Source organism: Homo sapiens, chromosome 1 (assembly GCF_000001405.40).
Source record: "Homo sapiens chromosome 1, GRCh38.p14 Primary Assembly".
Classification (NCBI taxonomy): domain Eukaryota; kingdom Metazoa; phylum Chordata; class Mammalia; order Primates; family Hominidae; genus Homo; species Homo sapiens.
The window spans coordinates 225,278,362-225,294,004 of record NC_000001.11 but is presented as its reverse complement, the minus strand read 5'-3'; the positions used below and the strand labels follow the sequence as shown (position 1 = coordinate 225,294,004).

Genomic DNA, 15,643 nt, shown 5'->3' with positions numbered 1-15,643 from the left:
TAATGCCCACTATCACCACTCTTATTCAACATAGCATTGGAAATTCTAGCCAAAGCAATTAGATAAAGGAAAGAAATTAAGGGCCTCCAAGTTAAAAAGGAGGAAGTCAAATTGCCCATTTCCAGATGACATGGTCTTATAAATACATAAAGACTACCAAAAAACTCTTTTTTTAAAAAAAAAACTTTTATTTTAAGTTCAGAAGTACAAGTGCAAATTTTTTACATAGGTAAACTTGTGTCATGGGGGTTTGTTGTACAGATTATTTCATCAGCCAGGTATAAAGCCTAGTACTCATTAGTTTTTTTCCTGATTCTCTCCCTCCTCCCACCCTTCACACTCTGAAAGGCCCCAGTGTGTATGGTTCCCCTCTGTGTCCATCTGTTCTCATCATTTAACTCCCACTTATAAGTGAAAACATTTAGTATATGGTTTTCTGTTCCTGTGTTAGTTTGCTAAGGATAATGACCTCCAGCTCCATCCATGTCACAGCAAAGGATATGGTCTTTTTTTATGGCTGCATAGTATTCCATGGTATATATGTCTACATATTCTTTATCCAGCCTGTCACTGATGAACATTTAGGTTGATTTCATGTCTTTGCTATTGTGAATAGTGCTGCAGTGACATACACATGCATGTATCTTTATAATAGGATGATTTATATTCCTCTTGGTATATACCCACTAATGGGATTGCTGGGTTGAATGGTATTTCTGTCTTTAGGTCTCTGAGGAACTGACACAATGTCTTCCACAGTGGCTGAACCAATTTACACACCCACCAACCATGTATAAGCATTCCTTTTTCTCTATGACCTCATCAGCATTTGTTATTTTTTGACTTTTTAATAGTAGCCATTCTGACTGGTGTTAGATGGTATCTTATTGTCGTTTTGATTTGCATTTCTCTAACTATCAGTGATGTTGAGCTTTTTAACATATAATTGTTGGCTACATGTATGTCTTCTTTTGAAAAGTGTCTGTTCATGTCTTTTGCCCACTTTTTTATGGGGTTGATGAAAATCTCTTAGAACTGAAAAATGAATGCAGCAAAGTAGCAGGATACAAAAATCAGTAATGTTTCTATATATGAACAGCAAACTAGGTGAAAAAAATTAAAAAGGCAATCCCATTTAGAATAGCTACAATAAATAAAATAAAATACCTGGGAATAAATTTGAACAAAGAAGATGAAAGAACTCTACAAGGAAAACTGCAAAACGCTGATAGAAGAAACTGAACAGGGTACAAACAAATGGAAAGACATCCCATGTTCATGAATCAAAAAAACTAATATTGTTAAGATGACCATACTACCTAAAGCAATCTATAGATTTGTTGCAATCTCTGAAAAATGCTAATGATATTCTTCACAGAAATAGAAAAAAATTCCTAAAATTCAAATAGAACCACAAAATATCTCAAAAATCCAAAGCAATTCTGAGCAAAAAGAACAAAATTGGAGGCATCACACTACCAGACTTCAAAATACATTACAAAGCTATAGTAACCAAAACAGCATGGTATGGGAACAAAAACAGACACATAGACCAATGGAATAGAATAGAGTACCCAGAAATTAATCCATGTATCAATGGCCAACTCATTTTTGACAAATGCACTGAGAACATACAATGGAAAAAAGTCAGTCTTCAATAAATGGTGCTGGGAAAGTTGAATATCCATATATAGAAGAATGAAAATAGACCCCCACCTCTCACCCCATCCAAGAATCAACTCAAAATTAATTAAAGAGCTAAATGTAAGACCTGAAACTATAAAACTACTGGAAGAAAACATAAGGGAAATGCTTCAGGACATTGGTCTTGGAAAAGAATTTATAAATAAGACCTCAAAAGCACAGGCAACAAAAGCAAATATAAACAAATGGAATTATATCAAACTAAAAAGCATGGTAAATTTCCTTCTGTACAGCAAAGGAAACAATAGAATGAAAAGACAAACTACAGAATAGGAGAAAATATTTGCAAATGATTCATCCAATAGAGGATTCATATCTAGAATATACAAGGAACTCAAACTTAACAGCAAAAACAAAAAATAAAGAACGAAAAACAAAACAAAACCTGATTAAAAAATGGGCAAATGATGTGAACAGATATTTCTCAAAAGAAGACATACAAATGGCCAAAAAAATGAATAAATGCTCAATATCACTAATTACAGGGAAATGCAAATCAAAACCATGATAAGCTATCACCTCTCCCCAGTCAGGATGGCTATCATCAAATAGACAAAAAATAGCAAATGATGGTGAAGATGTGGAGAAAGGGAACTCTTGTACACTGTCGGTGGGAATGTAATCTAGTACAGCCATTATGGCAAATAGTATGGAGGTTCCTCAAAAAACTACATATGAGTCTGGGCAACACAGTGAGACCCCGCCTCTACAAAAAAATTAGCTGGGTGTGGTTGTGCAGTCTTGTAGTCTCAGCTACTTGGGAGGCTAAGGTGGGAGGATCACTTGAGCCTCGGAGGTCGGGGCTTCAGTGAGCCATGATTGCACCACTGCACTCCAGCCTGGGTGACAGAGGAATACTCTGTCTCAAAACAAAACAAAAACTGCAAATAAAATGATCATAAGATCCAGCAATCCCACTTCTGGGCATTTATCCAAAGAAAAGGAAATCAGTATATCAAGAAAACATCTGCACCCTCATGTTTATAACAGCTCTTTTCACAATAGCCAAGATACAGAATCTACCTAAGTGTCCACCAGTGAATGAATGACTAAAGAAAATATGGTATATATACTTCATAAAATACAATTCAGCCATAAAAGAGAATGAAATCCTGTCACTGTGGCAACATGATTATGCTAAGTGTAGTAAGCCAGGAACAGAAAGTTAAACACCACATCCTCTCACTCATATATAAAAGTTAAAAACAAGTGGATCTCACAGGAGTAAAAAGTGGAACAGAAGATACTAGAGGCTGAGAAAGGTAGGGGAAAGGGAGAGAAGGATAGGGAGGGATTTTTTAAGGGATACAAAATTACAGCTAGAGAGGAGGAATAAGTTCTACTAACCTATAGCATTGTAGGATAACTATACATAACAATAATATATTATATAGTGTCAAATGGCTAGAAGGAGGATATTGAATGCTCCTAACACAAAAATGATAAATGTTTGAGATAATGAATATGCTAGTTATGGTAATCTGCTCTTACATGTATTGAAACATCACTATACCCCATAAACACATGTACAATTATCATGTCAATTTAAAACATTTAATTGAATTTAATTTGAAAAGAAAATAGACAAGCCACAGACTTGGAGGAAATATATATATATATATATATATATATATATATATATATATATATATACACACACACACACACATATATCTATACACACACATACACACACACACACACATATATATATGACAAAAATAACATATTCTGTAAGGAAAGTCCTGCATCTGACAGTGAAAATAGAGCAGAAGAGTAATGGAGAGAAACAGAAGCCTGGATGCTGTAAGAGCAGATTGTAGATTACATATCTAACTGTAGATTACAGATACTGGATATAGATGAAAGGGTTTTTAAAATACAGATTATAAAGCTAGTTCTGATATAAGACAGATGACCTCAGCTACACAGATAAATTACTTCCAATCTGTCAATTAAAATGAACAAGATAATGACATAGAAAATACCTTTATTGAAATATTTATTCATAACTACCTATGGCGTCATTACAAATATATAAACTGTGTGGGCTATGACTAGATAAGAACAGAGAATACTGCAAGAAAACTGATATTGTAGGGTAATAGAACCATTGATAAATATTTTCTTGTTTTCTTTTCAAATATTAAATTTTTGGGGAGGGGGTAGCCACATAGATATCAAACTTCAGCAAATAGCAAAGACAAAAAGTACTTACTTGTTCTATGTTTAAATTGGGAACCATCAGAACAGTGGGTTTCCCTTTTAATCCTGCGTGAATAAACACCTTTTTAAAGACTTCTTTGAATTCGATGTAGGCACATTTGTGAGATATAGGCACTCGGTATAGTTTATTATCTGTCAAATAACAGGCCAAGGTTGCACATGTTTTTTTCCCACATCCATCTATTCCAATCTTTGGGAGAAAAGAAATACAACACATGACATACATTTTCTGGGAATCTTTCAACGTATAGTTTTCTGTTTATTATTTGTGCTAGAAATTTTGATGTAAAAATACCCCAGACTATTTTTATTTATAACCTTTTGGGAGTCATATTAAACATAATTTAAATATTTTATCAAAATTTTTATAAGGCACTCATCCACTTTCAATATTTTCATCTTTCCATAGCCTCTTTAAATATATGAGAAAATTTCACTGGAAAGAGAACATAATCTTGAAAAAAGCACAGATAGGCTTATAAACCATCTTCATGTCACTGTCAATATTTGATTCTTCATTTATAAGTAACTAGATAGATCTTTTCCTTTTTATTTTGAGCAATAGGTACTTAATAAATGCTTTTGGGGAATAATGGCAAAGTAAGTATTGTTTTAAAAACAGCTTTATTTAGGTGTAATTTACAGCTTATACCTGTTTTAAGTGGATAATTCAATGCTTTTTAGTACATTTACAGACTTATGCAACCCTTGTCACAATTCAGTTTTGGAACAATTGCCTTCACCCCAAAAAGATCTTTCAAGCCCACTGGCAGTCAATCACCATCCAACTCTCAGGCCCAATCACTAATATGTTTTCATCTCTATTGATTTGCCTATTTTTGGCATTTCATATAAATGAAATTATATACCATGAAGTCTAATGTATCTGATTTATTTTACTTAGCATAATAAGTTCTTTCATGTTGTATGTGTATCAGTAGTTTGTTCCTTTTTATTGCTGAATGGTATTCTATTGTATGGACATATCACATTTTGTTTATCCATTGATGAACATTTGAATGGTTTCTACTTCTTGATTATGAATAATGCTGCTATGAACATTTCCATACAAGTCTTTGAGTGGATACTTGTTTTATTTTCCCTTGTGTAGAGACAGAGAAATGGAATTGCTCAATTATGTGGTAAATCTATGTTAAACTTTATAAGAAATAGCCAAACCATTTTCCAAAGTAGTTGTACTATTTTACATTCCCACAAGCACTGTATGAAAGTTCAGTTTATACACAATCTTGTCAATGATTGCTATTAACTATCTTTTTGATTATAGCCATTCAAGTGGGTGTTTAGTGTTATTGTGGTTTTAATTTGCATTTCCCTAATGACTAATGAAGCCGAACATCTTTTCATGGGCTGATTAACCATTCAGGTATCGTCTTTTGTGAAACATCTATTCAAATCTTTTGTCTATTTTTAAAAATAAACTTATTTTAGAAGAGTTTTAGACTCACAGAAAAATTGCCAAGATAGTATGGGGAACTGTCATATATCCACATCCAATTTCCCCTATTAGCATCTAACATTAGTATATTACATTTGTTACCATTAATGAACCAAAATTGATATATTATTATTAACTGAAGTCCATACTTTTTTCAGATCTTGTTAGTTTTTAACCTAATAATTTTTCTCTCCTTCGGAATTTCTTCCAGGATACTATATTACATTTAGCAGCCAAATCTCCTTAAGCTACTCTTGACTGTGACAGTTTTTCACACTTTCCTTATTTTTGATGGCCTTAAGAGTTTCAAGGGGTTCTGATCAGGTATTTTATGGAATGTCACTTAACTAGGATTTTCCTGCTGTTTTTCTCATGATTATACTCACCATGATTTATCATTTTTGTTGGTGAACTTGATCACCTAGATAAGGCGGTGTTTGTCAGGTTTCTCCACTGTGAAGTTACTCTTTTTTCCCCCTTCCTGTATGGTACTCTTTGGGAGAACGTCACTATGTGCAGCCCTCAGTGAAGGAGTGAGGAGTTATGCCCAGCTTCTTGAGGGTAGACTACCTACGTACATTATGTGGATATCTTCTGAATGGGAGATTTGTCTATTCTCCCTCATTTACTTATTTATTTAGTCATTTATTTATATAAGTATGGGCCCATGGATATTTATTATACACTTTGGATTATTATTTAATACCACTTTATTTCTTTGTTTTCTTGCTCCAGCTTTGGCCACTGTGAACTCTTTTAGTTGGCTCTTGTGTCCCTCTGACATAACCCCATGATTATTTTAGCACTTCACTTGTAGCACTACAGGATTCTCCAGGCTCATATTGTATATTTCCTGTCCCAGTCCTATAATCAGCAATTTTCCCAAGGAGTCCTGGTTCCTTTTATTGGAGAATGGTATTAGAAACCAAGATCTGGGAGCTAGGTGTACTCATTGCTACTGGAGATCACTGCCTGTAAGCCCTCCCAGCTGACACAGCAAATAAATAAATGTTTGTATACTAACCCTTATAGACACACATTCCTATAAAATTTCTATATCCAATCACCTATTTTAAGCTAAAAATAAGTTTAACTTATGTCTCCAACTCTGTTACTACATGATCATTTTAGTCTCTTTCCCTTGTTTAGCTCTGCCCTCCAATAGTGAGAAAACTGGTTTCCAACATCTGCCATCCATTTACTTCATTATTCAACTCCAGTATATGTGTATTGTGGTATTGGAATGGTTAACTTTACCCCCAAACCACTTTTTATATTGGCTCCTTTTCCCCTAATCCTCTTCAGTGAGTTTGTGTCACACACTTGCAACATGGTTTGATTTTTCTTTCACATTCTGCATTTCATCCTGGGATTACCAGACCTCCAAAATGACTTTTTTTTCTAAATTTGTAAACATTAAGGCTCATTCTTTGTGTCATCAAGTTCTATGGGCTTTGACAAATATATAGTGTCATGTGTTCACCATTATAGTATACAGAATTTTTACCATCCTAAAATATCTTGTGTTTCACTTTCTTTCCACCAAACCCTTAGACAACAAATATTTTTACCATTTCCATAGTTTTGCCTTTTCCAGAATGTCATATAAGTGGAATCATATAATATGTTGCCTTTCCAGACCGACTTCTTTCACTTAGCAATATACCTTTGAAATTCACCCATGTCTTTTTGTGGCTTGAGAGCTCATTTCTTTTTATCTCTTAATAATATTCCATTGTATCAATGTACTACTACAGTGTGTTTATTCATTTGCTTTATTGAAGGAATCTTGGTTGCTTCCAGTTTTTGGTGATTATGAATAAAGTTGCTATAATCATTCCTGTGCAGGTTTTTATGTGGGCGTAAGTTTTCACATCAGTTAGGTAAATGTGTAGGAGCATGATTACTGGCTCATATGGCAAGACTATGTTTAGCTTTGTAGGAAACTGCTAAACTGTCTTCCAAAGTGGCTGTGCTATTTTCAATTCCCACCAGCTATGAATGAGAGTTCCTATTGCTCTGTATCCTTGTCAGTAATTGCTATTATCAGTTCTTTGGGTTTTGGTCATTTTAATAGGGATGTTGTGGTATCTCGTTATTGTTTCCCCTAATGACAACTGATATTGAGCACCTTTTCATATGCTTTTGTAAGGTATTTATTTTTTCCTTTTATTTTTTAGTTGATGTGATAATTGTACATATTTATGGGATACAGAGTGATAATTCCATATGAACATATAATGTATAATAATCAAATTGGAGTAAATACATTAATCACCTCAAACATTGTCCTTTGTGTTGTGAACATTGAAAATCCTCTCCTCTAGCATTTTGAAAACATTCAATAAATTATAGTAAACCATATTCAGCCTACAGTGCTGCAAAACACCAGAACTCATTCCTCCTATGTAGCTATAATTTTGTATTAATTAACTAAACTCTCCCTTTCTCCCCTCCTCTCCCCTTCCTGGCCTCTAATACCCATAATTCTACTCTCTACTTCTGTGAGTTCGAATTTTGTTTCTCAGTTTTCACATGAGTGAGAACATGCAGTAGTTCTCTTTCCTTGCCTAACTTATTTTGCTTAACATGAGGCCTTCCAGGCTCTTCCATGTTGCCACTTATTGCAGCACTATTCACAAGAGCTAATAAGCCAAATGTCCATCAACAGAAGAACAGATAGAGGAAATGTGGTATATATGTACAATAAAATTCAGCCATAACAAGGTAACTGTTTCTTCATTTATTTCTATTTTTTTGAGACAGGGTCTCACTTTGTCACCCAGGCTGGAGTGCAGTGGTGCTATCACAGCTTACTGCAGCCGTGAATTCCTGGGCTTAAGTGATCCCCCTGCCTCAGCCTCCTGAGTAGCTGGGACTACAGGTACATGCCACCATACCTGGCTAAATTTTTATTTTTTTGTAAGAAGGGGGTCTCATTATGTGGCCCAGGCTGGTCTTGAACTCCTGGCCTCAGGCAATCCTCCTGTGTTGCCCTCCCAAAGTGCTGGGATTATAGGCATGAGCCACCACACTGGGCCAGCATCTGTTTATTTTTCTTTTTCTTTTTTGAGACAGAGTCTCGCTCTATCACCCAGGCTGGAGTGCAGTGGCGCTATCTTGGCTCACTGTAACTTCCACCTCCTGGGTTCAAGCAATTCTCCTGCGTCACCCTGAGTAGCTGAGATTACAGGTGTGTGCCACCATGCCCAGCTAATTTTTGTATTTTTGTAGAGATGGAGTTTCACCCTGTTGGCCAGGCTGGTCTCAAACTCCTGGCCTCGAGTGATCCACTCACTTTGGCCTCCCAAAGTTCTGGGATTACAGGCATGAGCCACCATGCCTGGCCTGTTTATTTTTAATTGGGTTGCTTGTCCTTAGGATTTTCCACAAACAGGATCATGTGGAATGTGAATAAGGATGGGCTTGCTCCCTTTATTTTTTCCAATCTGGATGCCCTTTCCCCACTTTTTCTTACCTAATTGCACTGGCTAGAACTTCTAGTATAGTGTTGAATAGAAATTGTAAGGCAAAACATTCTTGCTTTGTTCTCAATCTTAGGGGAAAAGCATTTTGTCTTTCACTGTTAAGCATAAGGCTAGCTGTAAGTTTTTCACAGAAGCTCTTTATTAGGTTGCTGAAGCTTCCTTCTTTTCCTTTTTGCTGAGAGTAAAAAAAAATGGTGTTGGATTTTGTCGTGCTTCTCTGCATCTCCTGAGATTATTGTGTGGTTTTTGCTTTTAATTCCATTAATAGATATATTGCATTAATGATTTTTAGAAAATATTAAACCAAATGTGCATTCCTGCAGTAAATCTCACTTGTTTATGATGTATAATACTTGCTATATGTTGCTGGTTTTGGTTTGTTAAGATTTTGTTCAGATTTTTTTCCACTATATTCATAAGGGATATTAGCCTGTAGTTTTCTTTTCTCATGATGACTTTGTCTAGTTTTGGTATTAGGATGTTACTGACCTTATAGATGAATTGGGAAGTATTCCCTCTTCTATTTTCTGGGACGGTTTGTGAAGGAATGGTGTTAATTCTTCCTTAGATGTTTGGTAGAAATCTCTGGTGAAGCCATTTGGCTCTGGGCTTTTGTTGTGGGAAGTTTTTAAATTCCTAATTAAATCTCCTTATTTGTTACTGCTCTATTAGATTTTCTAATTCTTCAGTTTCAGTAATTTATATATTTCTAGGAAAGACATTTTATCTAAGTGATCTACTATGTTGGCATACAATTGTTCATAGTATTCTCTTATAATCTTTTTTTAATTTCTGTAATATTGATAGTAATATTCCCTCTTTAATTCCTGATTTTAATAATTTGAGTCTTTTCTTCATTTTTTCTTGGTCAGTCTAGCAAAGAACTTGTCAATTTTGTTGATCTTTTCAAAGAACCAACTTTTGGTTTTATTGGTATTCCCTACTGGTTTTATATTCTCTACTTTCTTCTCTAATCTTTATTATTTTCTTCCATCTGCATGCTTTGGGTTTGGTTTTCTTTCCTTTTGGTATTTTCCTAAGGTGGAAGGTTAGGTTATTGATTTGAGGTTGCTCTTTTTAAATATAAGTATTTATAGCTATAGATTTCTCTTAAAGAACATCTTTATATTATGTTTTTGTTTGTTTCCATGTATCTCAAAGTATTTTCTAATTTCTCTGCAGTTTCTTCTTTCACCCATTTAGGAGTACGTTGTAAAAGTTCCACATAGTTATTAATATCCCAACTTTCCTTTTGTTGGAAACTTTCTAATTTAGTTCTACTGTGGTCAAAGAACATACTTCGTATGATTTCAATCCTTTGAAATTTACTGAGGCTTGTTTTATGGCTTGGCATTCGGTCTCTCCTCAAGAATGTTACATGTTTGCTTCAAAAGAATATGTGTTTTGCTGTTGTTAGTGGAGTCTTCTATCATGTCAATTAGTTCAAGTTGTTTTACTATACTGTTGAAGTCTTTGTAACCTTGCTGATTTTATGTCTAGTTTCTCTATCAATTATTAAGAGTGAAGGTATTGAAGTGTCCAACTATTATTGTTAAATTGATTATTTCTCCCTTAAATTCTGTCGGTTTTGGTTCCATGTATTTGGCACTAAGTTTTTAGGTGTGTATATGTTTATAACTCTTATGTATGATCTTTTCATCATTATAGCATGTCTTTTTTTTTTTTCTTTTTGGTCTCAGAACACTTAATTTTTTCCTGAAAGTCTACTTTGCCTGATATTAGTATACCCACTCCAACTTTCTTGTGGTAATTGTTTGCATGGATTATTTTTCTCCATCCTTTCATTTTCAGCCATTTTGGATCTTTGAATCTAACGTGTGGCTTTTGTTGATAGCATATAGTTGGATTTTGTTCTTTAAAAAATCTAGTTTTATAATCTCTGTATTTTTATTGGAGTTTTTAATGCATTTGTATTTGGGGCTTGTCTGCCACACTGTTATTTTCCATATGTCTCATTTTTTTTCCCTTTGTTTCTCCATTCTTTTGTGTTAAATAAATATTTTCCAGAGCTCTATCTTCGTTTTCTTGGCTTTTTTATTATATATATTTTTAGTTCTCTTCTAATTTTTTTACATTAAAAATAATAACTATTTATTGAATGATATCATAAGGTAAAAAGATGAACCATAATCTGGAAAATTACATTTGCCACACATATAATGAAGAAAATATTAGTATCTGAATATATAAATAACTCCTACCAATCAATAAGAAAAAGATAACCTAATAGAAAAATGGGCAAAGCACACGAATGGATGATTCACTGAAGAGAAGACCCGAATGATCAATAAACAAATGAAAAGTTGATCAACCAGTATCTGCATCTCTATGTTTGCCCCTGCAGTAACTATCAAACTCTCCCTTAGCAACCCTCAGTAATGGCTGACTGAAATTGCTGCATAGATGGGCCAAATACTTCAGCCCTCTCATCTTTCTGAGGCACATTTCCTAGAGCATTTCCTGAGATTCCCTTATGTAATTAACTTCCAGTTGCTAACAATAGTAACTGGCCTGATCATGCACCCTGTATTGATTACCATCTCTTCTGTGTCTCACTTTCTCACTCCTCTACCTGCTTTCTGGGACCATGTCTCAAGTTAACATTGAATACTTGCCTCGGGGCCTTCTTATGGGGGAACCTAAACTAAGATAAAATTGTTCAAGCTTCCTTTCCAGCATTGGACAGGGTCTAAGCTCTGATAACTCTATGGGAACTTTCCACAGAAAAGAAGCTAAAGATTCCCTTAAAATGCGTATAGAAGAAGGGGCCTGATGGCTTTGAATCAGGCCTGATGGCTGGGGGCCCAGACCACAGCCAGGCCCAAAACTTCATAGCTGTCCCAAGCCTGGAACTCTGGCTCATGGACCTCCTGCAGGTCTGCTTTCCTTCAGTTCTCTTTGAAACTTGTCTGCCATCGGTGTGTTTGGCCCTGACTTGCTTGGGTTCACAGTTAAACTATCCCTTTTCCTTGAGCATTTTTAGCATTTTTATTTAGATGATAGTGACATAAAAACTACACATATATTTAGCGTGTACATCTTGATGTTTTGATATATGTGTACATTGTTAAATGATCATCACAATCACACTACTTAAAATATCCACTATCTTTACATAGTTACCGTCGTGTGTGTGTGTGTATGAATATTAAGATCTACCCTCTTAACAAATTTCAAGTATATAATACAGTGTTGTTAACTATCATTATCATACTGTACATGAGTTCTCCAGAACTTGTTCACCTTGCATAACAGAATTACATTATGTATCTTATCACATCTATTTTATTTTATTTTTATTTTTAATCACAATCTATTTTAGATTAATACTAATAATTCCAGTAAAATATAGACAGTTTTCTTCAACATAACTCCATTTCCTCCCTCCTCTTTTGTGCTATTCATTGTTACATATATTACATCTTTATATATTATAAGCCTGACAATAGTTTTAGAATTATCATTTCATCTGATTATCTTTTAAAGTAGTTAAGAGTAAAGAAGAAAAATATATTTACATAGTCTGTGGTAGGCAGAATAATGCATCTGCCACCCCCATTCCCCACAAATATGTCCCCATTATGATCTCTGGAACCAATGAATATGTTATATTACATGGCAAGAGACTTTGCAGACATGATTAAGATTAAAGACCTTAAAATGGTGAGATCATCCTAGATTATCTGGCTGGGCCCAGTCTAAATCACATCAGTCCTTGAAAGCAGAGAATCTTTCCTGGCTTTGATCAGAGAGAGAGAGAGAGATGTTATGACTGATGAAGGGTCAAAGAGATGTGATGTTGCTGGCTTTACAGATGGATAAAGGCAGTTATGAGCCAAGGGATCCAGAAAGACTCTAGAAGCTAGTAAAAGAAAAGGAACAGATTCTCCCTTAGAGCCTCCAGAAAGTAATGCAGTCATACCTATACCTTAATTTTGGCCCAGTGGGTTCATGTCATACTTCTGACCTGCAAAACTGTAAGATAATAAATTTAAGTTGCCATATTTGCAATGTGTTTCATAGGCAGTAAAAAATGAACACATGGCCCTATATTTACCTATGTAATTGCTCTTATTGGTGCTCATTATTCTTCACAAGGATTTAAGTTACCATCAGTGTCTTTCACCCTCACCCTAAAAATTTACTTTAGTATTTTCTGTAACAAATTATCAGAGCTGTTTATCTGGAAATATCTTTATTTCATTTTTAAAATAGTTTTCTTGAACATAAAATTTTTGAGGTTTTTCCTCCTTTTATCTTTGAATATGCTGCTCCAATGCCTTCTGTTCTCCATTGTGTCTGATAAGAAGTCAGCTGTAAATCTTATTGAGAATTCCTAGTACATAAGAAGTTGTTTTTCTCTTGCTGCCTTCATGATTTTCTCTTTGTCTTTGAATGGTTGACTATGATGTGTCTAGGTGTTAATCTACTTTAATCTACTTGTGCTTACTCTTCTTAGACTTTCTTGAGCTGTGATTGAACTTCTTTTTTTCTTTCTTTTTTTTTTTGAGATGGACTCTCACTTTGTCACCCAGGCTGGAGTTCAGTGGCGCTATCTCGGCTCACTGCAAGCTCTGCCTCCCAGGTTCACATCATTCTCCTGCCTCAGCCTCCCGAGTAGCTGGGACTACAGGCACCCACCACCATGCCCGGCTAATTTTTTGTATTTTTAGTAGAGATGGGGTTTCACCATGTTAGCCAGGATGGTCTTGATCTCCTGACCTCATGATCCACCTGCCTTGGCCTTCCAAAGTGCTGGGATTACAGGTGTAAGCCACCGCACCCAGCTGTGATTGAACTTCTTGGATGTGAAGATTAATGTATTGGGGCATTATTTCTATGAAATCTTTTCTGCCCCCTTCTATTTCTTCTCTTTCTGGGAGCCCCATTAAGCATATTTTGATACACTTGATAGTGTCTTTTAGGTCTTTGATGTTCTTTTTCTTCATTTTTTTTCTTTCTCTTGTTCAGTGTAGATAAATTTTATAGATCTATTTTTAAGTTTGTGGATTCTCTTTTCTGCCATGTTAAATCTGCTGTTGAGCTCCTCTAGTGAAGTTTTCATCTCATTTATTTTAATTTTGAATCCCAGACATTCCAATTTGTAAAATAATTTATATCCCTTTATTGGTATTCTCTATTTGAAGAGTCATTTTTGTATGCTTTCCTTTAATTTATATATTAATATAAATAATAATATATATTTTCCTTTAGGCTTTTTGAGTATATTTACAAGAGCTGTATTTCGGATATCTGCCAAGCCCAACATCTGGATCCCCTTCAAGACAGTTCCTATTAACTACTTTTTCTCCCCATGTATAGCTCACACTTCCCTATCTGTTTTCATGTCTTGTAATTTTTGTTAAAAACTGAACATTTATGTGACAGATTGTATGCAATAATCTTTTAAACCAATGCCTTAAATTGAAATACTAATTAATATTAGTTTTCTTGTTTTCCTCTGGTAGTTCTGGTAGTTCAACAATGTAATCCAATTGAACTATGTAATATTTACTTTTAAAATTCATGTACAATTTCTTCTTTTACTTTTTTACTGAATTAAACTGATCTCATTTGAACTGTCCAATCTAGATAACCATTATTTTATTATTTATTCTCTGTCTTAAATATTCTTAATTAAGTCATTACACTCCCTCCAGTTGCTTCTCCCTGCAGAAGCTCCACATGCTAGACTAGCCTTCAGTTAAATTACTGTTATGCAAAATTAAACCCTAGTGTCACCTTGACCCATGAAAAAGATCTATTTATAATGTTTAATTGGGCAAACATAGTAATAGGGGGCCAGGTGTGGTGGCTCACACCTGTAATCCCAGCACTTTGGGAGGCCAAGGTGGGAGGATCACCTGAGGTCAGGAGTTCAAGACCAGCCTGCCCAACATGGTGAAACCCCGTCTCTACTAAAAATACAAAATATTAGGTGGGTGTGGTGGCAGGCACCTGTAATCCCTACTTGGGAGGCTACTCAGGAGGCTGAAGTAGGAGAATTGCTTGAACCCAGGAGGCAGAGGTTGCAGTGAGCTGAGATTGTGCCACTGCACTCTAGCCTGAGTAACAAGAGTGAAATTTCATCTAAAAAAACAAAAACAACAAACAAACAAACAAACAAAAAAACCCCAACAGTAATAGGATCAGAGGAATCAGGAATTTGCCATGTTTTACCTTCTATTTTTAATAGGGGCTCTGAGAGGGAAGATAGGTTTGTGATAACACATCTACAGAGAAACTATTAAGGCCAGATTCCAGTTGAGTGTAGGCTTTTGAAAACTGCTCTGAATACATTCTCAGGCATTTTAGAATTGAGCAATAGGTAAATGTACCTCTTGCTAGAAAAGACATGCTAAAGAAAAGAGTCACTGTGGTAAAATAACTAAACAGAGCATATACACTTTAGGAATAGAAAAATAATCTGTTAATAATTGAAATAAGACAGACAAAAATCATAGCCCTTGTAGAGCTTATGTTCTAAATGTGGAGACAGATGATTATAAATGAAAAATTAATGTGTAATATTATATAAGATAAGGCTAAGGACCAGAAAGAAAAATAAAGCAGAATAAGGAGACAGACTAATAGGGACTGAGGGGAAGAAAAGAGGTGCGTTAGGGAACAGAGAAAACCACAGTGGTCCAGGTGATGATAACAGTGGCTTAAATAGCGTGGTGGCTGTGGAGATGCAGAGAAATATGCAGGTTTGAAATACATTTTTCAAGTTGTATCACCAGGG

General features: G+C 35.0%; 1 protein-coding gene across 26 annotated transcripts in view, besides 1 other annotated feature; it reads right to left on the bottom strand.

Moving 5' to 3' along the window:
* Positions 1–15,643, bottom strand: part of DNAH14 (dynein axonemal heavy chain 14) — a 469,633-nt gene that overhangs the window by 105,282 nt on the left and 348,708 nt on the right. For all 26 annotated transcript variants that reach the window (XM_011544062.3, XM_011544067.3, XM_017000296.2 and 23 more), the window contains one exon: positions 3,923–4,120. In XM_011544062.3, the coding sequence (XP_011542364.1) occupies positions 3,923–4,120 (198 nt within the window). The remainder of the gene's footprint in view (positions 1–3,922; positions 4,121–15,643) is intronic.
* Positions 13,132–13,332: a silencer, noted in NCBI's record as "peak727 fragment used in MPRA reporter construct". NCBI's record gives its function as "represses an SCP1 promoter by STARR-seq MPRAs in K562 erythroleukemia cells {active_cell/tissue: K562}" and the evidence as "EXISTENCE:reporter gene assay evidence [ECO:0000049][PMID:32103011]".